This window comes from Homo sapiens, chromosome 8 (genome assembly GCF_000001405.40).
Source record: "Homo sapiens chromosome 8, GRCh38.p14 Primary Assembly".
NCBI lineage: Eukaryota > Metazoa > Chordata > Mammalia > Primates > Hominidae > Homo > Homo sapiens.
This window is the reverse complement of record NC_000008.11, coordinates 54,781,961-54,809,919: the sequence shown is the minus strand read 5'-3', so window position 1 is coordinate 54,809,919 and position 27,959 is coordinate 54,781,961. Positions and strand designations below refer to the sequence as shown.

Sequence of the window (27,959 nt, the reverse complement as noted above, 5' to 3'; positions counted from 1 at the left end):
ATGGTACCACTTGCCAACTGGAATACTGACAAATGTTTTTCAACTCTCGTTCACACTGCAATTCAGAGAAAAAAATGCTTTCGCTATCACACTGCATCACAAATGACTTTCTTATTGCCACCTTAAATAATATAGCTGAAGTCACCACTTACTTTTCAGCATCAACCTAACCATGGCAAATGGCATGCATGTAGTCCTTGGGATCAAAGTATGTTGCAAAAAGTTGTTCTAGGAGCGAGTGCTATTTTTTTCCTAGCAAAGCCACCAAACAAAATAGAATCTTATTTTCTTTACAGTACAATGGCTGTGAAAGAAACAGTCTTTTTTTATGTACAGCATGTCTTTCTGGCATAAGATTGAAATACATACAGAGAATTTGTTTGAATTTAAGGCTTTTATGAACAACACAGTCTGCTACTACTAGCATACTGCATGAATCTAACTTTTATTAATACATAATTCAGATGCCAGCAGTCGACTCCATCTCTGCCACTGAACCCCCATTGCTGATACTATCTCACTAGGCTATTTTGATATCCTGTGAGAATTTGGCCTCTTTTGGAAGCATATACATAACTCCCACAGATACCAACCCAAGTTTTGCATCACAGAATGAAGAAAGAGAATGTATGAGTAAGAATATGAGTTGTTTATTTATGATGGCATACCATGTTAGCAGGCTATATGTACAACTAAACTTTAGAAAGAGCTCCAAGTTAACAAAAACAAATTCAATCTTGTATAGAGCCACATTTCTTTCTAGGTAAAGGCAGTGAAGGAAGCAAAAGTTATTGCCCAGAGTATATAAAGACAGGAAAAAATAGCTAAATTGTTAAGGAACATAGGTTGAAGTGCCAAGTGAAATTATTTGCATAAATACTACAACTATTCAAATACTTGGTAGAACTAGAGCTTTTAGCTTCATTGGTAGCTTATCTTCTTCATTAGCATTATAAAATTATATGTACTAATTGTTTATGCTATAGGACAGATAATGTTGTTAAACATAAGGAACTTAACAAACCTCAGTGGGCTCTGTGAAGCTGATCTAGGTAGAACGGGGTGTGGCCATCAAGGGCTACTCTAGTAACATAGTAGTCAGAGTTTCCAGAGAGAAAAGATGAACAAAGAGGTAAGCAACTATACACCAATGTCTGTTCATCAGTCCCTTCCAAATTTTATGAGATTATACCCGTGCAGGAGTAACATTTTTCTTTTTATTTCTGACTTAACAATTGGAAGCAGAAGAAACATTTTTTAACAAAGAAATGGTAAAATAATGGTCAAGTGAAAAATGAAAGGAAGGGGAGCTTTGCTCACATCTTCTAGAGTCATGCTCTGTAACAACTAGCTGGGTATTCCAATCCCATAAAATAGGCTAAGAGTTCTTAAGAAGATCAGGATTCTAACTCCCATTCCCTGTACCCCACATGCTAGCAACCTCAGTATTAAATCACAACTATTCAAAGCTCAGGCTGATGGCAAATCTGTGGAGAATGTCAGGGAATGCAAAGATGTCCACTTCCACACTCTGGGCACTTGAGGGATCCTGGACAGTGGGCTAAGGGAAGACCATCTTCCATTTGCCCCAGACATCTTAAGACACCTTCGTGCAGAGCCGCGGGGAAGTCAGGTAGTTAGAGGGCAGTGGGCCTCCATGCAGTGGACTCCAGTTTACTGAGGGTAAATGGCTTCTTGAAGGATCAGAAAGTAACTACCATTTTCCTGCTCCTGATTCTGGGAGGAGAGAAATTTTCTTGTACCTCAGTGAACCCCATATTCTATAAGCCCCTGTTCATTCGGTTGTTGAAAGAAGTTTCATGATATGATGGTTACACGCTATGATGGTTATTGCATGTGGTTACTTGACAGGGCCATGGGGCCCAAATACTTGGTCAAACAGTATTCTAAGTGTTCCTGAGAAGGTGTTTTTTTTTTTTTGGATAAGATCAGATTTGAATCTGTGGACTCTCAGGAAAGCAGATTGCCTTCCATAATGTGGACGGGTCTCATCAAATCTGTTAAAGGCCTCAATAGAACAGACTGACCTCCCCAAGCAAGAAGTAATTCTACCAGCAGATGGCCTTTGGACTTGGACATGGACTGCAGATTTTCTTTGGGTTCAAGCCTGCCAGCCCACACTGCAGTATTTGAATCTACTTCTCCACAATCACAATTTTAAGGAATTGTGAGCCAATTCCTTAAAATAAATCTCTCATGATAGATAGATAGAGATAGATAAATAGATAGATAGATAGATAGATAGATAGATAGATAGATAGATAGACAGACAGACAGGTAGATAGAGATGCACACACATTCTGGTGGTTCTGCATGGTTAGAGAACCATGACTAATACAGTCCCTACATCCAGGTACCTCTCTAAGTTAACGGAAAAGCTCAAATACAAACAAATAAACAGACAAGCATCAGAAACACACATTGAATACAGCATGCATTTACACATATGTGGTCAAAAGAGTGAAAGGATCTAGTGAGATGTCAACCTAGGCTCTGGAATGTTTTAGCAAGTTAAGACTCTAACCATGTAACTACCATAATTTCTTCTAACTAAAAAAAGGAAAATAAAATTTCCAGTTCAAAAGAATTTGTTCTTTGAAGGACTAGCGATACCCTTCTTTCTGTTTTTTGCAATGTTTGAGACTACTTCAGTCTCTAGTTCAAACAATATATAATGAAAGGCTGATGGAGCTTGACAGACCTGGCCTCATAAAGCTGTGTGCCCATTGCTCCTTACAAGTTACCTGTCCTTTTGCATCCTACCTCATAACAGGTGGAGGAGATTTAATTATATGACACAAGTAGAATACCTCAAACAAACCTTGCCCTTTGCAGGTGGTCAATAGATATTAATTTTGACATTCTCATACAAACAAGAATGAAACATTTCTGTCACCTAGAACGTGCCTGTTTTGTTCAATTTTTCTTTTAGAAATCTAATTTTTTGGCAAATAAGACTTTAAAGAGAAACGTGACTTAAACTGATGCACTCTCAGCTTATTTTGGGGACAACATAGTTAGCATTTGGTAACCTTAACAATGGTATTATCTCAGGGTGAAGATAATTATCCATCTCCCCTTGAGGTACTAAATGTTCCTCTTCACCCATTACAATTTGTTAAAAACAAAGAATTTTTTTTGTAAAAATACAAAGAAAGAAATGGAGGCAAATATATGAGCCATTCCTTAAGTTTTTATGATGACCAATATTCCAATTCTATCTTCAAAACTATCACCAAGTAAGTTGTACGCCTGATTATCTAAGTTGTGAGCTCTTAAAACACTTATGTTCACATGTAGCAAGGTATATAACTTTATGAATTGCATTCATGAAACAAATGTGGGAGTTGAAAAAAATGACAATGCTGTGAAATTTCAAATGTAAAGCTAGTGCCACACTGCCTGCCAAAAAGCAGTTATGTCATTTTGCTAAGATGTAGCCAGGGAAACCTTGTAAAGAGAGATGGGTTTTTGGTGTTTTAAATCAGCTCTAACTAAGATAAATGTCCATGATTCCACACTGAAAGGATGTCCATCGCTAAACTCTCCAGTTGACTCTATGCTGAGGTTAAAAAAAAACCCGGCCAGACACAATGGCTCACGCTTGTAATCCCAGCACTTTGGGAGGCCAAGACGGGTGGATCACGAGGTCAGGAGTTCGAGACCAGTCTAGCCAACACAGTGAAACCCCGTTTCTACTAAAAATACAAAAATTAGCTGGGCATGGTGGCAGGCGCTTGTAATCTCAGCTACTCAGGAGGCTGAGGCAGGAGCATCCCTTGAATCCGGGAGGCGAAGGTTGCAGTGAGCCGAGATTGCACCACTGCACTCCAGCCTGGGTGACAGAGTGTGACTCTGTCTCAAAAAATAAAAGAAAATAAAAATAAAAATAATAAAAACACCACTGACAATAAATTTATTACCTTCCTCTGTTGTATTAGATACAAACATTCTGCAAAAGAGAAGGTGGACTCACTCAGAGGAATCAAAGATTATCTTTTAGCACCTAACATATCCTGAAGGCTGCTGGGAAACACACCTGATCACTAGCCATAAGGAGCCCTCATTCACAAAGTTTCAGATGCCATATATAATGGCTGGATTCTCTAATAGCCTGGAGATCACCAACAGCATTCATTTGCCTTCCATGGCACCTGCAGAAAATGACAAAAAAAAAAAAACTAGAGAAATGGAAAACATTTCCACTCCATGGGCATGCACCTGGTGTCATCGCCAGGATGTTATAACTAATATACCAACAAAACACCCAGAGTCCAACCAGGTTGCTTGCATTTTCCAGCTGTATAAACTCAGTCACTTTTTGGAACAAGGTCCAATTAACATGGCACAAATTCACAGGGTATAATATACAACAGGTAAGCCATTTAGAATAATAGGATTCAAGTCATGGGTGTGAAATATGCCACTGTTTATTTTGTATTATTTTATTTTATTGTGGTATCTATTTCTGTGGACAAGTTGAGAGCACAAATTTTATTTACTGTGATGCTAGAGACCAATATTCAAACTTGGTGAAGAATGTTAATAATTCTGCCATAATATACACATTTCATCTGAAAGATAGCTTAGAGATAGAAATAAATAGATAGCCAGGCATAACTAATTATATACTATATAACTAGCAAATAAGCATATTTATTGAAACGATATTCAGAAAACAGTTAAATGGTCTTGACAGAGAATAATCAGGGATGTTTATAAAAACTCTCTGTCCAGGATGATCTAAAGCAATCTCAGTATCAAATGTTTTGTTCAGATTTCTCTCAAAATTCAGGCACTGCCAGTGTTGTTGATTCTCTCTCCTTTGTCAGTGACTTCAGATGCTGATGAAAGTCAGAATAATATGGGCAGCTTTTCAGACCTTGGAATCATATGATCCCAGGTGAAACCCAAGCATCTGTATTTGAAAGCTACACCCATATTTATATTGCCACCCAAATTTGAAAAGAGGAAATAGTCTCCATTATTAGGGTATAATGCATACAAACAAAAGAGCTACCTTATTTATTACATTGCTTAGACTTTTTAAAATATAATTGCTTACTTTTGGAACACTTGATCTGTCCTGAATTAAGAGTCATATATTAAAATCTCTTATATGACTGGGTTTCTACCCAAATCCTTGCATCTGTGTAGTTTTTGTTTCACATGAGTGCTGTGTTATTTAATGTATTGGTGTTACATCAAATGTAGCTTTTAACATTACGAAGTATCTTTTATCCCATCTTATACTTTTTGGTTTTAATGTTTTTTTGTTGTCAGAATTGTAACCCTTGCTTTTCTTACTGCTTCTTTTTGCCAGGTAAATTTTTGTCAATATCATTTTTTTTTAGCCTTTTTGAAATCACTGAAAAAAAATTAAGTGGTTCTCAATTACAGTTGTGTGATTTTTCATGTGCTTTATCCCACATTACACAAACAACAGTCTCAGGTCATCCATATCAAAACTAGCACCGGCAAAATGATGAATGTCTACCCTACAAGGGTTATGCAGTCAAACCTTAATGGTGGGCCTTAACGTCATTTGGAATAGTGTCTGGCTGTGTGTGCTTACATCATCTGACTATACAGGTTCATTTGTTTCATTTTCCTTTTACTTTTAGAAGTTGCCTTTTTTAAATTAATTTTTTTAATTATATAAAATGTTTATATGTTTTAAATCGGAGTTGCAAAACAAAGTTTATTCAAAGAAGCTTAGTTTTTCCTACTAACCCCTCTAACCTAGCCCCCCCCCACATATGTAATCATTTATTATCTTATAGTTTACCTTCCATTGTTTATTATTATTTTTTAATTCTTTTATTTTTTTTGAGATAGAGTCTCACTCTGTTGCCCAGGCTGGAGTGCAGTGGGGTGATCTCAGCTCACTGTAACCTCCGCCTCCTGGGTTCAAGCGATCCTCCTGCCTCAGCCTCCTGAGTAGCTGGGATTACAGGTGTGTGCCACCAGGCCCAGCTAATTTTTGTATTTTTAGTAGAGACGGGGTTTCACCATGTTGGTCAGGCTAGTCTTAAACTCCTGACCTCATGATCCACCCACCTCAGCCTCCCAAAGTGCTGGGATTATAGGCATGAGCCATTGTGCCCGGCCCATTGTTTATTTTTAAATTAAAAACCATGTATACATGTAATATTTATGTATATATAAATATGAATATGCGTATATTCCCATAACACTTCTTTTCTTAAATAAATTGTAGCATACATGTTTTTACCTTTTTTCACTACATAATATACCCTGGAAATCCTTTGTAATAGTAAATAAAGATATACCTCACTCATTTATACAATAAGCAACTCTTTTAAGGAAATCATTCAACAACATTGTTCCCTGAATAGCATCTGGAGGATGATAGTGTAATATCATTATTTGTTATACATTTTCCTGGACCCTCGGTTTTCTTAGGGGAGTCTTCACAGTTATCTCAAATCCATCAACTGTTACAGAGTCAAAATAATTTTCATGTTCTTCAGGAGATAGGTCATAATCCCCGGTGTTACAAGGTAGTGTTCATCATTTTTCCCGTGTTCATCTGTGACATCTAATTGTGTTATCAACAGTTCCAAAATTCTGTCTACGTGTCTCTCTCCAGTCCCGTCCACGAGACAGTGAGGAACATGTTCATATAGAGTCCCAGTCCATTTATCACATGGACTCCAAAAGTAGCTACGAAAATTCATTTGAAAAACAAACTGATTAGACTAAAAAATAAGACAAAGTTTTTAATGAGATTTTAGAAATAATATTTTGTAGTCTTGGTTTCCAGGCAAGTTGAGAAGATGTAGAAAATACTCACAAAAAGGGTAAATGTTGCTGTGACTGAGTTTGAGAATTTTACATGGGAAGCACAAAGATGCATAGGAAAAAAAAAAGCTATGAATCCCAAGAAAGACAAGCTTTTTTCTCTCTTGAGCTTAGTAAGCTACCTTGCTTCTATAGAACACACATCCAGCACACCCTGATCCCAGTTGAAAGGTCCACTAGTCAACAGCTATAGAAGATTTTGTTTCATCCAATCCCAAGAGAGAACTGTAGATCCTTTCTCTGAGCCCATAAAGCTTTTTGCATCTATCCTGCTTAACGGGGCACTAACTCATAACACTTCTGGCATCTTGCCTGTGTCATGTGTTTATGTCCTTTCTCTCAGTGGGATTGTTTCTCATTTCATAGCTCTGTACCCTTCAGAGACCTGAGCACGGTGTTAAACCTATTGTGTGTATCATAGAAATACTTGCTGAACGACATTGAAATGAATAGCAGCCTTTGAAGACCTTACCTTTCAGAAAGAAAGAACAATTTGGTTTTCCTAAAATGCTTTTTGAGAAAGTGGATAAAACATTTTATTTAGATTTCATCATATCTTTCCTAAGAACTTTGATAGAGATTTTCTGGTCTCTTCACTCCAAATTGAAATTTGAAGGTATTTCTCATTTTGTTTTGTTTTATCCTCACTAAAAAGCCTATATTCTCAAATGCTTAACATTTTCTATTGAATGCCATGATTAAACAGTCTTTTATGGATCCATTCTCTTACTTATAGGTTGGATTCATCTGAATCAGGACATACTGAAAATGCCTCAGTTGTTGTTTAATATTGTCATAGGAAAAGAATCTATAATAAATACATTACAAGGCTATTTTTACCTTTACTATTTAGAAGGTCTTTCTTAAATATGTCTCTAAGTTGCCTTTTTACAGTCTATATTATTTATTTTCTTCTCAGAGAAAATGGAGAACAGTGGACTTATGTTTCTAAATAACATCTTATTTGCCTGGCTGGGTTACTGAGCCTTTATACATTTTTAAATGTTATATATTATCTGCAGCTCTTTAGTGACTACAATTCTATAAAAATCTAATAAAAAGAAAATAAATAAATCTGACTACCCATCTAAATATTCATAGCGTGAGCTCAGAGATGTAGAGAGTTGGAAGACAGAGTCACTTTTACAACAAAGAAAAACCTAGAAAAACTGCAAATTAATGACTTTCCTGGAGAACTAGATTACAGGGTAAAAATCTAACCAAACTCTGGAGAGAGACAGGTTTCTTCAGAGAGAAACAGGACCTAAGCATGTGCTCACCTGGAGTGGATGCCTACAGATGTCCTGTACACCAGTAAAGAATGCACCTAGAAATTTCCAACAAATTGCTAAAGGCTGGATATGGGAAGCATAAGAGTTTGCACTCTCTTGCAGACTTTTCCTCCAAGAACCCCACCAGGCACTTGCAGGGAAGGTTGAGGTGAACACCGAGAAAGAGTCCTTCTCTTTCTGGCTGGGGGTAGTAACGGCAGCCAAGGCGGAAGTCCTGAATCTGTCTCCTCTATCTCCCCTGTGGAACAGAAGATGTAATTTGCAGAGGGAAGAGAAACAAAAACTGTTACCTGAGGGCACTGATAAAAATACATTGCAACTAAGAAAGGGCACCATGAAAAAAAAGTCTGTGATTCTGAGGGGAGTGGCAAAAACACATCCTAGGCCCACTACGCCTGGAGGAGAAGCGGGAATACTTGTGAAGGTTTGCAACGCCTGGCTAAGACTGAAGCTTAATCAGAACATCTGAGAACGTACAACTGCCCCACCCTCTCAACACTACATTAACACGTGTTGAGGAAAAATAACAGTGGAATACAGCTGTGAGCTGCAACAGACAAACCAGAAGAGCCAAAGCCAGGTAGACAGACCCAAGCCAATTGGGAAGCAAATATTGAGAAACACTCTCTGGCAAATTAGACTATATCCTAAACATAAGGTGTTACTAAAGGAACGTGAAGTTACACTGAAGGTAACCATAGCAACAACAGACTTTAAACTCAGCCCAAGTAATGGTTACATTAGTACAAATTCCTCCACTAAATGCAGAGCAGAAGGAAAGTGTGCTTATCTCCAATTATCAACAGTATTTATTTCACTATCTACTGTTCTATACAACACATCCAGCTTCTAACAACAACAACAAAACCTACAAGGCTTGGGAGAAGGCAAGGAAACCACAATCTGAATAGTCAAAACAATAATCAAAATCAGACTCAGATATGACACAAATGTTAAAACTATCATACAAGAAATTTAATATAACTATGATTAAATGTGTTTAAACCTCTAATGGAAGATGTGGACAACATAAAAAAACAGGTGAGTACTTTCAGTAAAACAATTGGAAGCTGTAAGAAAGAACCAAAGAAAATTCTAGAAATCAAAAACACAGTTACAAGGATGAAGAATTCCTTTGACAGCCTCATTGACAGATTCAACATGGCCAAGGGAAGAATCAATGAATATTTAGATTGGTTAATTGAAACACAAAGATTTTGTTAATAGAAAAATAATAGAACAGAGCATCCGAGAACATTGGACAATATCAAACATATAGTCTTATATACATACATTTGGAATCTTGAAAAAAGAAGAAAGAGAACAGGGCATGAGAAATATTTTCCAAAGATAATGGTCAAAAATTTTCAAAATTAGATACAGAAACCAAATCACAGATCTAAGAAGCTCACCAACCAGGATAAATACTAATACACACACACACCCATACACACACCCCCCCAACACACACAGAGGCAAATCATATACAAATTGCTGTAAACCAAAGACAAAGAGAAAATCTTGAAGGTGGCTAGACAAAAAGATACATTATAAATAGAGGGAAGGATAAGAACTACATCAGCACTCTTTTTGGAATAAATGCAAAGAGAAGACAATAAATTGACTTCTTCAAAGTACTAAAGAAAAAAAACTGGCAATCCAGAATTCCATATCCAGTAAAAACATCATTTAAAAATGAAGAATAAATAAAGACCTTCTCATACAAACAGAAACTGAGGAAATGTATTTCTAACAGATCCATTCAACAAAAAATATTGAAGGCAATTCTTCTTACTGAAGGATTGTGGTATAGGCCAGAAACCTTGGTCTACACAGAGAAATAAAGAATGTTGTAAATGGAATAAAAGTAAAATAAATATTATTTTTCTCATTTTTAATTCTCTAAAATATAACTATTTAAAATAAAATCAGTTATTATATATTGCATGTATACACATATATAAAGGTGAAATGTATGACAACAATGCTATAAGAAATGGGAAGTAGAAATTTGGATTATTCTAAGACCCTTATACTGCACATGGGGTAGCATATTATTTGAAGGGAGACTCAGATTATTTTAAAATAGACACTCTAAACCATGGGGAAACCAGTAGAAAGCTTTTGATAAAAGAAAAAATAGTATAAATAATTTCAAAAAAGGAGATAACATTGATGCATTAAAAAAAGTTCAGTTAAATCCTGAGAAGGCAGGAAAAGGGGAGAAAAAGGAAAGGAAGAACAAATAGAAAACAACTAGCAAGATGGTAGATCTTATTCTAATTATATAATAATCACTTTAAATGAGAATGGTCTAAACATAGTGAAATGACAGGCTGCCAGGTAGGATAATAAGCAAGACCCAACTCCATACTATCTACAAGAAACCCATTGACTATAAAGATACAGAGAAGTCAAAAATATTCATAAATTTTAAAGAAAGACAAAGCTGTTGTTATGGTATTTGGTAAAGAACAGATCGCAATAAATGTTTTTTGAATGAATGTATTTGGATTATTGGGAGATTTCTTTTTGAATTAAAATGGAAAATTATTACCAAATTTATAGAGTGTTAAGTTCAATCACATATAGCTTTCTGTTATTTTACTTTTATATTATAATAGCAAATAACATCACCAAGATATTTCAAGATTTCATCTTTAAAATAAAAAGCTTTTCTACTTAATTAACATAGTCTCAAAATGCATAGGCATTTATTTTCACAATTGTATTATTTATATATTATGCTGTAGGAAAAAGCAAATCCGAAAAAGCAAATCCAAAAAAGCTGAATATAATAATTGTATATAAAATATTAACATTTTTTGCTATCATAGTTCTATAGAAAAAGAAATATAACAAATATTGTATATGTTAACATTACATATACAATATGTATGTTATGTATGTGTATGTATGAAGATGAAAACAAAAATAGAGACTAATATAGATGTACAAGTATGTGTGATACTGTCAAGCCAGGATAAGAACAACTTTATAATTTACTTTTTCTTCCTTAAGTGGCAACTAAAAAGATGAAGAATGTTTCCTGTATACATTACAATAATTGAAATATTCTGAGGACAAATCACTTCAAATTTATGTGGCTCAACATGCAATAAGAACACTAATGCCCTCAAAATAAATCATCTGAGGATAATGATCTTTTGCCTCTGTTGTCTTATGCCTGAAAGTTACTTGAACTATAAGTTCTATTTATTAATTAACCTAACCAACATGACACAATTTGTGAATTTTTTGATAATTAAGTTTCAGGGAACAAGTAGATAATAGAACCAACAAAATTAAGACAATGTGAGGACTTCAGTTTTCCTTGTTTCCTTAATGTATTCCTGGAGTCTTCATAGACTTTCTAATCTATCGCTCTCTTTGTTCATTACCTTGGGCAAATGAAATTCCACTCATAGAAATATTGCTGGTTTCTCCTATACTTCAGGAATCAGACCACCAGTTGGGTGTGGTGGTTCATGCCTGTAATCCCAGCACTTTGAGAGGCCGAAGCAGGCAGATCGCCTGAGCTCAGGAGTTTGAGACCACCCTGGGCAACATGAAACCCCATCTCTACTAAAATACAAAAAACTTAGCCGGGCGTGGTGGCACGTGCCTGTAGTCCCAGCTACTCAGGAGGCTGAGGCATGAGAATCACTTGAGCCCAGGAGGCGGAGGTTGCAGTGAGCCAAGATCCCACCACTGCACTCCAGCTTGAGCTACAGAGTAAGACTCTGTCTCAAATAAAAATAAATAAAAGGGAAATCAGACCATCCAGGAGGAGCTCCTGCTATATGTATAGCCAGTTCTATAATGTGACATGTGTCTAAAATCACCACACTGCAAAATTTTACAATAAAAACCATAGGCTTATGGTTAAAAAAAAAAAAAAAAAAAAAGGTTGGGAAACAACACTTGGAAACTTCATCAATGACATCAGAAAAAATATAGGAACCTAATAAAAATGGCAACACAGTTATATACATATTAATGGTTAAGAAATACATAAATACTATAATAAATATGATATTTTATTTTGAAAAGACACGAAGTTTTCTTCTGAAAGAGGTGTGAAAACAACTGTAGCTTGTAAGTTATTGTCAAGTTGTGGAAGAAGGGTTATCTGAAATTGGAAGGATAGTTTTAACATCAGATGTGAATAAGCATGGTTCCTAACACATGCAGTGGACTGAGGTAGCTGGTAGGTGTTTGAGGTGTGTGTGTGTGTGTGTGTGTGTGTGTTTAGTCCTATGTGACTCAGTTCAGCTAGGTAGAGTTTTCTGCACTCATCTAGTGGTTCTCATGGATAAAATGTGCATAAGCAAATGTGAAATTCCACTTAGGCTCACTGTTCTTTAATATACCAATTATGTTGGAACAAATTCACATTTCCAAAACTATTACAGCCAAACTGATTGTACTTTATTTCTACCTTAACGTCTATTATCACAACTATTTCCTAGCCTAATTTCTAGTCTCAAAGATGATGAAGAGGTGCCGTCCTCCTCTATAAAACCTATTCTTCCAACTGCATTTTTGGTAGCTGTTAAGAAAGTAGATCTCTTGATTTTTGAAGGATCTGACTCTAACATTTACTCCAACTGTCTTCAGCAGTGTTACATACAAAAATGTCTCTCCAGTGCCACCTTCTTCTCATGCAAAAATGGATAATTTTTCTATTCCTAAAAAGGAGTCTACTCTTTACACTGTTGTGCTCTCTCTAATACCTGCTTCCCTCTCACAAACGTAATGATCAAGTGGCTCTATATCCAGAACCACCATTTCTCTTCACCCCATGATAGATTCTATCATTCCCTATAATATCTCTCAGCAAGATTAGTAAAATGGCTCTTTTGAAAGGCACTAACATCCTCTTTGTTGGCAAATTTAACCATTTTCTTTCCATTTTCGTTCCTCATTTCTGTGAAGCATCTGACTGTTGGATTCTATATTCATTTCCTAGGGTTTTCATAACAAACTGGGTGGCTTAAAACAACGGATACTTATTCTCTCACCATTCTGGATCCTGGAAGTCTGAAATCAAGACGTCAATGAGGCCATACTCCCTCTGAGACTCTGGGTGGAATCCTTCCTTGCCTCTTTCTAGCTCCTGGTGGTGGCTGTCAATCTTTGGCATCCTTTGGCTTACAGCTCACCAATCTAATCTCTGCCTCTGTCACTAAATAGTGTTCTCTCTCGATGCTTCTCTTCTCTCTTATAACACCACCAGTCATATTGAATCAAGGCCCTGCCTACTCTGGCATGACCTCATGTTAACTTACATCATAATTAAATCTGTAAAGAGCCTATTTCCAAATAAGGTCATATTCACAGGTATCAAGGATTTCAACATATCTTCTAGAGGAACACAATTCAACCTATAACTGTCACCTACATTTTCCTGAAACACTTTTGTCTCTTTGCTTCCCAAACACAATACAAATACTTTTAAGAATTTTGAGTGTTGACTACATGCCCTTTTATATGCTGAAAATTTTACATTGATTTTATATACCCACATAATCCTCACAACAATCCTCTTAGGTACTATTATTTTTAATAATTTTACAGAGGATAAAATGGTAAATAACTGCCCACAAACACACAGGTGGTCAAGAAGCTAAAATCTGAACCCAGGATATCTGGTTCCAATACTCACACCTATCACTGCACTATCTGTCCACCCGATAATTCCTTGGCTACCAATTGAGAAAAATAGCTGAAGAAGAATCAGAATCTCACTGCTGATCCTAGAAAATGTGGTTTAAATAGAATGATGAGATAATATTCCAAATTGCAAGATTAAGAGAGAATGGAAAGAGAAAGAGGTAAAGGAATGAGTATGGGTTAGTACTTTGAAGATTTGCAAAGAGAAGGAAAACTGTAACCTAAGAGTAGAGTAAGGGTCACATTTAGAACAGGAAAAACATAAGCCTGTTGGCAGGTTGAAGGCAAGGGCTAAATAGAATAATCCTGAAAACGCAAGAAAAAATAAGGATGGCTAATGGGTCACAATTTTGAGAGACAGAGGAGGATATGATCAAGTCCACAAATAAAGATGTTAGTCTTTCAAAAGAAGATGTCAGCAGAGAGGGATTAGAGAATGATATTTTTTTCTTTCATGTTTCAGTTTTGCTAAATATCTATCATCCAGCTCAGAGCAGACATCAGCAAACAACCTTAATCTTCCCTCTCCACAAAGGTTTTTGGCTTCTTAAGGAGTAGGCCATGCCATATTCTTTCAGTTGTCCTCCAATAAATAAAAAATGATTGATATCTGAAGCCAATAATATTTTTGTTCTAAAATTTAGCCCATCTGAGGAAATTTAACCCTTCTGAAAATCAACGATATGTTTTCCATAGTATATTCTGCACCTGTATTAGGGTTTTTAGGTCTTTTTTGGCTTTATTTATGTTTATCTATTCATTCATTGATGGAGAGATAAGGTGTTCCTATGTCTTGGCTATTATGAATGACACTGCAATGACCACATGGGTGCAGATATCTCTTCAAGATACTGATTTTGTTTCCTTCAGATATATACACAGAAGCAGATCATATGGTAGCTCTATTTTTAATTTTATAGGCCTCTCCTTACTGTTTTCCATAATGTCTGTACCGATACATTCCCACAAGCAATATACAAGGGTTCCCTTTTCTCCACATTCTCACCAAAACTTACTATCTCTTGTTTTTTTGATGATAGCCATACTAACAGGTTAGATGTGGTATCTCATTGCAGTTTCAATTTGCATTTCCTTGATGATTAGTTATGTTGAGCACCTTTTTGTGTACATGTTGGCCATTTCTATGTCTTCTTTGGGAAAATGTCTATTCAGGTCTTTTCCCATTTTTAAATTATATTATTTGGGTTTTTCTACTATTAAGCTGAATGAGTTCCTGATATATTTGGGATATTAATCCCTTATCAGATATTTGGTTTGCAAATATTTTCTCCCATTCCCATTTCATTTCAACTCATTGCCTTTTTATTTTGCTGATTATTTTCATTTCTGTGCAGAAACGTTTTAGTTTAATACAGCCCGTTTGTGTATTTTTGCTTGTGTTGCCTGTGCTTCTGGTGTCATAGCCAAAAACATCATTGCCAAAACATAGGGAAAAGTGGGTTTTGCCTATGGTTTCTTTCTCTTCTAGAATTTTTAAGTATTTAATCCATTTATAATTAATTTTTGTGAAAGGTATAAGACATGGGTCCAATTTCATTCTTTTGCTCATGGATATCCAGTTTTCCCAACACCACTTATTGAAAAAGGTAATATTTCCCCATTGTGCATTCTTGGTGCCCTTGTCAAATATTGACAAACATTGTCAAATATTGACAAACGGTCGTATATGCATGCGTTTATTTCTGGGCTCTTGATTCTGTTCCGTTTGACTTTGTGTCTACTTTTATGCCAATAAAATAAAAATACTATTTTAGTTTTTATGGCTTTAGAATATAGTGTGAAATCAGATAATGCAATGCATCCAGCTTTGTTCTTTTTTTTCAAGAATGCTTTGACTATTTAGAGTTTTTTGTGGTTTCACATGAAATTTTGGATTGTTTTTTATATTTCTGTCAAAAATGCTATTGAAATTTTGATAGGAATTTCACTGAATCTGTAAATTGCTTTGGGTAATATGTATATTTTAATAATATTAATTTTTCTGATCCATGAACATGGAATATCTTTCCGTTTAATTGTACATACTTTAATTTCTTTCAACAATGACTTATTTTTTTAAGTGTAGAGATGTATGAAAATGCAACAGATTTTTTAAATGTTGATTTTGTAGCTTGCAACTTTACTGAGTTTGTTTATTCTAACTGCTTTTTGGTGGAATTTTTAGAATTTTCTATATGTAAGATTATGTCATCTGCAAACAGATGATTTTACTTCCTTCTCTCTGATTTGGATGCCCTATTTTTTCTTGCCTAATTATTCTAACTAGCACTTCCAGTACTATGTTAAATAGAAGTAGCAAGAGTAGGCACCCTTATCTTGTTCCTGATGTTTGAGAGAAAGCCTTCAGCTTTTCACCATTGAGTATAATGTTTGCTGTGGGTTTATCATATTTGGTCTTTATTAGGTTGGATACATTCCTTCTATATTAAATATGCTGAGAGTTTTTATCACAAAACCATGTTGAAATTTGTCAAATGCTTTTTCTGTATCTGTTGAGATGATCACATTATTTTTATCCTTCCTTCTGTTAATACAGTGTATCACAATTATTAATTTGTACATATTGAACCATCCTTGCACTCCAGGGATAAACCCCACTTGATTACGCTAAATGATACTTTAATGTGCTATTGAATTGTGTTTGCCAGTATTTTGTTGAGGATTTTTGCCTCTACATTCATCAGGAATATTGTCCTGTAATTTTCTCTTCTTCTAATATCCTGTCTGGCTTTGGTATCTGGGTAATGCTGGCCTCATAAAATGAGTTTGGAAGTATTCCCTCCACTTTAGATTTTTTAGAAGAGTTTGAGATGGTTTGGCATTAATTATTCCTTAAATGTTTGGTAGAACTCAGAATGAAGACTAAAGGTCTTGGTTTTTTCCTTGTTGGGAGATTACTGATTCAATCTCCTTACTCATTACTGGTGTATTCAGGCTTTCTATTTCTTCATGTTTCAATCTTTTTAGGTTGTATGTTTCTATAAATTTATACGTTTTCTCTAGGTTATTCAATTTGTTGACACATAATAGTTCATAGCAGTCTCTTATGATCCTATGTATTTCTGTGGTATGAGTTGTAATGTCTTCTTTTTCATTGATAATTTTATTTATCTGAGTTCTCCCACTTTTTTTCTCGATTAGTCTAGCTAGAGGCTTAAGTTTATCTTTTCCAAAAACTAATTTTTGGTTTTATTGATCTTTTCTATTGTTCTTCTACTCTCTATTTCATTTTTTTTCCCATTCTAATCTTTATTGTTTCCTTCTTTCTGCTAACTTTGGATTTATTTTGTTCTATTTTTCTGATTCCTCGAAGTGTATAGTTAGCTTGTTTATTTGAGATCTTTATTGTTTCATAATGTAGCCATTTACAGTTATAAACTTTCCTCTCAGCACTGCTTTTGTATCACATAAGTTTTGGTATGTTGTATTTTCATTTGTGTTTGTCTCAAGTTATTTTTTGATTTATTCCATGACTCCTTAATCATTGAGAAGTGTGTTTAATCTCCATGAATTTGTAAATCTTCCAATTTTTTTCCTGTCATTTACGTTGAGTTTCATACTATTGTAGTGAGAAAAGATACTTGATGTAATTTCAATCTTCTTGAATTTATTAAGACTTGTTTTGTGTCCTAACATATGATCTATCCTGGATATTTTACGTGCCCTTGAGAATAGTATGTATTCTGTTGTTGGATGAAATGTTCTGTATATGTCTGTTAGGTTCACTGGGTTTACAGTATTGTTCAAACCCATGGTTTCCTCATCAGTTTTCTATCTGGATGATCTATCCGTCATTGAGGGTTTAATATCAAAGATCCTTACTATTATAATATTGTTGCTTATTTCTCCTTTCACTTCTATTGTTGTAAATGTACTCACTTCATATATTTAGATGCTCAGTGTTGGGTACATAAATATTTATAATTGTTCTATCTTCTTGATAAATTGATCCCTTTATCATTAAGTAATAATCTTCTTAGTCTCTTGTGACAGTTTTCGGCTTAAGGTCAATTTGTATGATATAATTATAGTCACTCGTGCCCACATTTGATTATCATTTCATGGAAAGTGTTTTCCATCCCTAACTACAGCCTATGTGTGTCTTTAAAGCTAAAGTGAGTCCCCTATAGGCAGCTTATTATTGGATCTTGTTTTTTAATCCATTCAAATGCTGCACATCTTTTCATCAAATAATTTAATCCATTTATATTTAAAGTAATTATTGATAATTAAAAACGTATCTTTGCCATTTGGTTAATTTTCTGATTATATTTCCTTTACTCCTTTCTTCCTTGCTTATTGTCTTCTTTTGTAATTGATGACTTTTGTGTTGGTATTCTTTGATCTCTGTCTCTTAATCTTTTGTGTATCTACTGCAGGTTTATTCTTTGTGGTTACCATAAGACTTGCATAAAATATCTTATCATTTTCACATCCTATTTTAAGCAGATAATTTAAATTTAATTGTCTATAAAATGACACTTTTAACTCACACCTAATATTTTATGTTATTGATATTACAATTTGCATTTTATGTATATCTAATAGCAAGTTATTGTTGTTAGTTATTTTTAATACATTTTTAACTTCTCTACTAGAATTGAAATGAGTTATGCATCACCATAATAAAAATTTAGAGAATTCTGCCTTTGACTATATATATTTATTTTTACAACAAGTTTCATATATTCATATATTTTAGGTTGTTAATTAGTGTCTTTTCATTTCAACTTGATGAACTTCCTTGAGTATTTCTTGTAAGGAAGGTAAAAGTGATGAACTCCTTCATCACTTTGGGATGGGAAATCTTTATTTCTCCATTTCTGAAGGACAAGTTTGGTGGGTACAGTATTCTTGGTTGGCAGGTTTTTTTTAGTATTTTGAATATATGATCCCACTCTTTCCCAGCCTGCAAGCGTTCTGCTAGAAATCCACTGACAGTCTTGTGGAGGCTCCACTGTATATGATGAATCATTTTTCTTTCATTGCTTTCAAAATTCTCTTTGTCTTTCATTTTTGACAATTTATTTATAATTTGCTTTGTGCATAACATTTCAGATTCAACCTGTCTAGTGACACTTGGGGTTCACAAATCAGAATGTCTATTTCTCTCCCCAAATTTGCAAGGTTTTCAGTAATCATTTCTTTAAATAGGCTTTTTGTCCCTATCTTTCCTTCTTCTCCTTCTGGAATTTTCATAATGCATATATTGTTTCACTTGATGGTATCCCATTAACTCATAACCTTTCTTCGCTTTTTAAAATTATTTTGTTTCCTTTTTGCTCCACCGACTGAATATTTTCAAATGACCTGTCTTCAAATTCACTGATTCTTTCTTCTTCTTTATTGAGTCAAATGTTGAAGCTCTGTACTGAATTTTTCATTTCATTCACTGTATTCTTCAGCTTTAGAATTTTAATTTTATTTAATGGTTTCTATGTCCTTGTTGAACTTCTATAATAGTTTTGATCATGTGTTGCTTATCTAACTTCATTTAGTTGTCTACCTTTTTTTTTTTTTGAAGTTCACTGAACTTGTTTAAAGGGATTATTCTCAATTCCTTGTCAAACAGTTCGTAGATCTCCATTTCTCTAGGATCAACTACTGGAGCTTTATTATTCTTCTTTGGTAGTTTCATGTTACCACAACTTCTTTGTGATCCTTATATTCTTGCATTGGTGACTGTGCATTTAAGGAAGCAATCAGGTATTCCAGACTTTACAGGTTCACTTTGGCAGGGAAAGACCTTCACCCATCAGCCCAGCCTGGAGTTTTAGACAGACCAGCTGGTAGCATTCACAGGTAGGTTATGCTTTCTGTTAAGGTCTCCAATTGGGCAAGACATCTGCCCATGCTCTGATGTTGGGTGGAGCTGCAAGGTGGTCTCTGCAACCAGTAGGTCTGCTGACCTGGCTGTAGTCAGGCAGAACTTCTGGTTGGGCTCCTGGCAAGATGGAGCCACTGGCTGGGCTCCACAATTGCCTCTGGTTGGGCAGAGTTATAGGCTGCTTTCCCTGGCCAAGAAGTGCTGCTGCTTGGACTTATGATTAGGCAGGGCTATAGGCTGAGTTCCACAATCACTCCTAGTCAGAGACCTAACCAATCTCTCTGGCCAGACAGTGCTCATGGCTGGTCTCCACATTCATGCAGGCTGAGCTCTGCAGTTGGGGTTAGCTGCAGCCTGGGCTCTGCAATTGGGTAGGGTCAAGGCTGTGTCTCACAGTTCAGCAGGGTTATTGGGTGGGTTGCCTGATAATGCAGAGCTGTTGCTGTGCTCCACAGTCAGTGAGGACCTCTACTGGGCTCTCAGTTTGGGAGAATCTGTAGATTGTGCCCTGCAGTTTGATGGGGTTATAGGCTGCACTCCACGATTAGGTGGGTTTGCTGTCTGGACTCCCTGTTCCATCAGGCTATGCTCCACAATTTAGCAAGACCATAGGCTGGGTTTTATTGTCAGGTGGGGCTGTAAGCTAAACTTCACAGCTGAAAGGGGCCATAGACTGGGCTTCACGGTAGGCTGGATTGCTAGCCTAGCTCCCTGGTCAGGCAGGGACACAGGTTTGCCCCATAGTTGGTCAAGGTCACTGGCTGGGCTGCCTTCCCTGGTGGAATCACAGGCTGGGTTCTATGTCATGGCAGAGTCTTTGTCTAGGCTTCCTGATCAGGCAGGGCTGCAAGATATGCTCCAGAGTCAGGCAGGGTCATTGGCTTGGCTCATTGCTCAGGCAGGGCTGTAAGTTAGGCTCCATGGCTTGGCATGACCACTGGCTTGGAACCCAAGACAGGCATAACTGCAGACTGTATTCTCTAGCCAGACAGTACCACTAGTTTTGCTCCATGGTTAGGCAGAGACACTGACTAAGCTCTCTGGTTAGTCAGTGATAATGCTAACAGCAGGGATGCAGTGCTATCGCCAAGTTCTGTGCACTGGTTGCTGTGAACCCCTGCCATGCTTCTTTGTTCCTGGCTGACCCCATAGAATCTAGCCCTGCCAAGTCCCTCAGTATACCCTGTAGGGGAAAGCAGAAGTGAGTTTCCCATGAAGCACCCCAAAATTTTGGAAAAGCTGGATGTCCATCTAGGACTAGCTGGGTATGATGCCATGCCAGCCTGAGGGAGAGGTGAAGCAGTCAAAGTGTAACTGCTTCTCTTACCCTTTTAATGAGACTTTTTCTCATTTCTGTGGGGTGCATCAGCCTCACCCCCAGTTTCTGGGATTTTCACAAAGGCACTCTTCTCTGTAGATGATTGTTAGTCTTCCTGTGAGGAGTACTGAAGCTAAGCAAATTCTATTCTATTATCTTGCTGATATCATCTGAACTGGGGTTTTATTTCTGCAATTTATTTTCTATTTAAGGGGAACAATGTTATTAACTTTTCTTAATAAGTATCTATAATTGAAAATTTGTAGAAGATGCCATTTTAAAAATATTTCAACTTTTGTAACTAACGAAAAAGTTTAAGTTAAATTGTCCCTAGGATCTGCCATCCACAGGAAAGTCAAACATGTCAACAGGGAACTGCTTAGTGCTGCCACTCCTAAACTTCTGAATGAAGTCAATGTAAAATGTTACCAATCTCCAAGTTTTAGGATTCCTAAAAAACAAAAAAAAAGGAAAGAATGGAAAAGAAGATGAAGAAGGAAGAGGACAAGAAGGAGGAGAGAAAAGAAAGTCATACAGAGTTATGCCAAAATCAAAATGACATGCTAACACCCATCTAGCTAATGGCTAATAGTTTGTAGGCCCACATGGACATCTAACTTTTAAACATTGAAAAGACCCAGATAAACATTCTTGATATTACATACTCAACTGACTTGCTCTAGCTCAGCCAACCTAGTCTTGTTTTCCTATATTCCTTCCTCCTACTCCAGCCTGCAGACATTTCTACACATACCCCCATGCCAGAAATAGCCACCCACCAGCCATCTGCCAAGCTGCCTTCCTGCCTTCATTCATCTGAAAAATTATCTTAAACCCCATCCTATCAGGAAGTCTACCACAATTTGTGGGCAGGATCATAAGAGTCAGCCTAAAGAGCATAATGATAAGAGTGTTTTATACTTTATATAAAGTGCATTGATGTTTAACTCTTTCAGTCTGCATAGTTATATTATAAAGTATTGTTGCACTCATTTTACAAAGGAGGAAATTAAAGCTTACAAATGTTAAGTGCTTTATCCATATTTCCTTATATAGTAAAGAGCAGAGTTGGAGGTCAAATATAGGTCTTCTCATTGCTGGTGATATAAATTGTTTTTACAAAGGCAAAACTGTATTAACCATTTCAATCCTAAGGAGCATAAGGGATATTCAATGATTAGGCAAGTGCCCTGGGAGTTCACAATAAATATTAAACCTTTTCATCTACAAAATTAATTGACTTCATACAATAGTAAAGCAGAAGCAGAAAGCAACTTTCTAGGAGTGAACGGCATAAGCACTAACTTTTTCCCAGCAACGGAGAATACTATTTAGCGTTTCAATTTGCAAAAATGCAATAAAAAGCCGAACTAAATTTCTGGGCAGGTTTATAAGTAAATAATATTAATATAAGATACATGGATGCCTTTATGATTCCCTCAGAGTGAGAAGGATCACAAGAAAAATTCAACAATGAACGCCCCCTAGATAAAGCAGTCAATATTAAACAAATTTCAGCAAAGTCATTTTTATTAAATTTTCATGATTTCAATGGATATTTATGAGTGTCTAGTCTATGTCAGGCAATAAACAGATTCAAGGGTTAGCAAGTGAACTAGGTCTAGTCCCTGTTCTCTAGAAACTCCTCTCTGCCTACTCTCTCCAACTTTCTGCCGTAATGGACATTTTGCTCTTAATTTTGCCTTGATTGTTTTCCTGAGGATGTTTAATTTCCTTCATTTTGGCTCTTAGTGACATTCTAGGTGCAACCATAGAGCTGAACTCTATAGTCTATAGAGGGTATATATCAAAATTGCTGCAAAGCCACTGACACCATTTTGCAAGCCCTTTTTAAAACTAGAATCCTCTTCTTTTATGAAGTCCTACAACCAAGTTCCTCTTCAAGGCCTATGACTGGGTCAGGAGAATATTACAGTTACCCTTCATTGTCACCTACCATATGAACAGTTATATAAAAGGAAATTTTCACTGTTCTGACAATAAGATAGCCAATGTCTCAAGAGCCACTTGGATGGTGGCTCTTCTATTCCAAGGATTTGGTCACATGACATAGCCTCAAATCCAAATTTATATTGGGCCAGTTCTTATTTATCTTCAGCAAGTTATAGAAATCATGGAAGATTTCATGGAGAAATAGAAACTTGAATTAAAAATAACAAAATATGATCAAGATAATAAGAGCAGAGCAGGACTTCTGAAATGGCAGACGGAGACTCTCCATAAATCCAGTGCTCCACAAAAGCAATAAAAAAATTATTGAAATGGAATTATCTAGAACTCTGAAAATTAATCAAAGGATTATAACAAATTGAGGAGCATGTATTCAATGAAAACGACGAACATTGGTAGAAACATAAGGGTACCTTATAAGTACTTTGATCTGCTCTCTACCACCCTCCCCAACTCCACAATAGTCTTGAAAACTGGCAACCTTGCAACCACAGTAACTATTAAAACCAACAGTAAGGTGATCTACACCTAAACACAACACAGTAAAATTTTTGAAAGCCAAAAACAAGCAGAGAATCTTGAAAGCAGCAGAAGATAAACAACTTATCATATGTACAGGATCTTTAATAAGGTTAACTTCTGACTTCTCATCAGAAATCATAAAGGCCATAAAGAAGTGGGATGACATATTCAAAGTACTGAAAGAAAAAAACTGTCAACCAAGACTTGCATATGCAAATTAAGACTTTCCTAGATAAACAAAAATAGAGAATTCATCACTAGCAGACCTGCCCTACAAGAAATGCCAAAGGGAACTCTTCAGTCCGATTTGAAAGAACACTAGAAGGTAACTTAAATCCATACCAGCAAGGAAGTTAAAAGGTAACTCAAAAAACGGGAGAAAAAATTGTAAAACATATTTTTTTATTTGTTATCTTGGGGCTGTTCATTGTTGAATAAACATATTTGTTATCGATATGATAACAGATTCATATTGGGAATATATAACGAACTCTTAAACTCATTAATAAAAAGACAAATGATCCAATTAAAAATGGGCAAATCGTTGCTTCTCAGCCTTTTGGCTAAGATCAAGTATAAATATGGGCAAGTCATTTGAATAGATATTTCTCCAGTGAAAACACACCAATGGCCAATAAGCATATGAAAAGGTGCTCAACATCATTAGTCATTAAGGAAATACATATCAAAATCACAATAAGATACTATTTCGCATCCACTAGGATGGTTAGAATCAAAAAACAGATAATATCGAATGTCAATAAAGATGTGGAGAAAGATGAAACCTTGTACATTGCTGGTAGAAGTGTAAAAATGGTGCAGCTACTTTGGAAAACAGTTTGGCAGTTCCTCAAAGTGTTAAACATATGATTCAGAAATTTTACTCCTAGGTATATACCCAAGTTTATGTGTGAAATGATACATACATAGTGAAACAATAACATGTTCACACAAAAACTTGTACATAGATGTTCATAGCTGCATTGTTCACAACAGCTGAAAATGAAAACAACTCAAATCTGTATCAACTGGTAAATGGATAAATAAAATGTGGTTCATTCATATAAGAGGATATTATTTAACCATAAAAAAGAATAAAGTACTGATACATGCTACAACACCGATTAAGTTTTAAAGCATTCTTTATGCTACGTAAAACAAGTCAGACAAAAATACTCCATGTTGCATGATTCCATTTACATGAAATGTCCAGAACAGGCAAATGTGTAGAGACAGAAAGTAGATTACTAGTTTCCTAAAGCTGGGAGATAGGAAAATGGAGAGTTTCTTCTAATGGGTACTGGCCTTCTTTTTGGAGTGATGAAATTGTTCTAAAATTAGATTGTGGTGATTGTTTAGTACATTCACAGGATTGTACACTTTATACACTTTAAATGGGTAAATGTTTTTTTACCCTGATTTGATCATTATACAATATATGTATGTATTGGAGCATCACACTGTACCCCATAAATATATACAATTATGTGTCAATTAAAAAGAAAACTTTAAAACAAAAAAATTAAAAAATAATAAAAAATGAATGAATGTTATGATATGAATGTTAGAGTGAATTATATTGCAGAAAACCACTTTTAACAAAAAGAAATGAAGACAACTTCCATAGATCCACAGTTATATACTCTCACTTGCACAAATAAACTGATAAATTTTAATTAAAATTATTAAATATGTTGTATGGCAGAAATAGATAACATGATTTGGGATGTCATAAGGATTTAATAACCATTAAAATTTACCAGTGTTTACTATGTTTTTGGAGGCAATGTGCTATGTAAATCAGATACTTTTACACCATAGTTTTTCAAAATGGATCAAGAGTAATACCATTTCCCAGAGTTTGTCATAGGAAAATAGGTAGCTTTGGTTAAAAAAATAAGAGGAAAGCTAAGGTTAAAACTATGTTCATTGCAGCATTATTTATAATAGTAAAAACTTGAAAGCCATTTAAATGTCCAACACTACCAAAGTGTTCTATTTATTCATAGTACATTACTTAGTATCTAATCAATACAAATTTTAAGTTAGAAGACTATGTAATGGCCATATTGTATGTAATACAGGGTGCTACAAAATTGCCTATGTAGTGCAATATTAATAGCAAACATTTATTGAGCATTTCAGATACTACATTGAGGATTAATTAATTTAATCCTCATTCTAACCCTACGAAGTAAAGATTATTGAGGAAAGTGAGGCACAGAAAGGTTAAATAATGTGTCCAGGTCACCATGCTTGTAAATGGCAAAGTCAGCAATTGAATCTTGACCATTTGACCGTTTCGCCCATGTCTTAGTCATTAGGCCTGCACCACCTTTCCATCATACCATCATGCTCCATCATATGTGTTAGTGTGCTTGTGGAAAACATGTATGGGTATGAACAAAGACTGAGACAGATGTTCAAAAATGGAAATGCTCAACTTGACAATAGGATTAGTAGTAAATTATTCCACTCTAATTTTTAAATGTTCTAAAATGCATGTAGTTTTTTGCCTTTATACAAATAAAAAAATGAAGAAGAAACAAAAATCCTACGTCCCTGTTGTTATTACTGTTTCCCAGCTCCCATGGGATAAAACATGCCACATACACCAAGCAAATTTAATGCAAATGCAATACCAAAAGAACAACAAAAAATTACACTCCATTTCATCTTCGGGGATGTATATCACAATATATCTTAGCAAACAAGTTATAGCTGTATCATTTTTACCTTGAATATATCTGCAGTGTTAGGGTTAAACAGCTGGTGTTTCCCAGATCCCAAAATAATAGGACCTGAACATTTTGTTTCTCCATAGACATAAAGGAACACTGTTGCCGTGGTGCCGGCATTTTCAAGATCCCCAGTGACAATGGTCACCTTCCAGTCTCCATCTGCAAAGGAAAAAGGAGATCAATATAAAAGTATAGGGGAAAAACACATTAATATTAGGAAAATAAGGATTTCTACTTAATCTACTTGGTTATGAAATGAATAGTTCGTGAAATCAAGTACTAAAATAATTGCTTATCATGGATTTCCTCCTTGAATGCTAGCATATAAAAAAGTTTTGGAAATATTGTAGCTTAACTACAAAACAAATAGTAGTGGGCTTTTTAGAACAATACATATTTTGGGCAAAACAATGGAGTTGGAGGCATTTAGCACTAAGTGTTTAGCTGAAATACTTAGGAGTTTATTTAGGCAAATAACTGTCAAATTTGGGGATGGGAATGGATGACAGGCATCCTGATAACCTGATGTTAAGGCATCATCTGTACTAGAGAAGAGTCCTATCAAGCTACACTAGTAACACAGTTTGGTGATCCTAGCAGATAGTGCTAAGGATGTAGAAGATATAAAAACAAGGCAAAAAAGAACTTTCTTTCTCATGAAAAATTGCTGGAGTTCCCTGAAAGTTGGAACAAACCAACAAGTAAGGAAGAAAATGCTGTACTGCATAAATAGGTCTTGGCAAAAGGAATTGGGCTTGGGGAGGGAGGATGAAGAAAAGACACGTTTGAAATAGAGAAAGACAATGCATCATGCAAGCAGAAGGGATCATTGAGCTTCCTGCTGCAGTGATACTGAGAGCACAGAAAGGCTGAGACAAGCAGAGCATGACAGGAAACAACTTAAAAAGATCTATGAGTTGTTTTATGATTGGTTTAGTTAGAAAGACAAAATAAGTCTTCATTTTATTATTTTGTGCACTTCTTTGGGAAACTACATCATCAACCCACAGCAATGAACCCCTCTCACCCTGAGTCCACACCACACAGCCAAGCACAGCAAAGGACAAAGTCCTGCCAGTTAGAACTCTGTGCAGTGCATGCACCTCTACTCATCACAGCCTGTCCCTAGAGTGCAGGGGTAATCTGAAGATGTTGTTACTGTTGTTTTCTAAGGCCCCATAAACCTACAACCTTGTATTTTTTATATTTCCAAAATACAATTAAAACCACCACTATTCTGCCCACCAAGTTCTCAGTAATTCTTTCATTAAGATGTGATTTTCTTTTAAAAACACAATGCTACTCCCCACCCACCACTGTCTGTATATACATAAACATCATTTGAAGATCTCTCAACAGTTTGATAAAACTTGCATCAAATAAATTTTGCATAATGTCATCTTTGTTAAGAAAGATGGACCCAGTACCTCAGTACCGAAAGCCAAAGGGGCAGCAGAACTCAAAAGGGTGCACTGCTACTTCTACCCCGCAGCCAGCCAGCTTTCAGGAACTACAGTTCATGTGGGAAAATAAGAAACATGCAAATCTAAAACTAAGTCCCATTGAGAATCCTATCATAACTTAATTCTTACAGAAAACCTCACACCTGTGCTTTGATGCATAATTCAAGAAGTTGAAGGATCTCTTTCCTTTTTTGTAGGTCTTCTTTCCTATCTCATCCTTATCTCCTTCCCCGGCCATCTGGGCCTGCTGTCATGCTATCATGGGGGGAGGGACGGGAATAA

At 35.7% G+C, this 27,959-nt stretch overlaps 1 protein-coding gene across 7 annotated transcripts in view; it reads right to left on the bottom strand.

The window, feature by feature from the left end:
* The window catches only part of RP1 (RP1 axonemal microtubule associated), a 312,050-nt gene that overhangs the window by 61,315 nt on the left and 222,776 nt on the right, over positions 1-27,959 (bottom strand). For 6 of the 7 annotated variants that reach the window (XM_047422069.1, XM_047422070.1, XM_047422071.1 and 3 more), the window contains one exon: positions 26,210-26,373. In XM_047422069.1, coding sequence (XP_047278025.1) covers positions 26,210-26,373 — 164 coding nt within the window. Of the gene's footprint in view, positions 1-4,009; positions 4,176-26,209; positions 26,374-27,959 lie in introns of those variants that run through there. The other variant, XM_047422073.1, reaches the window with a different exon arrangement.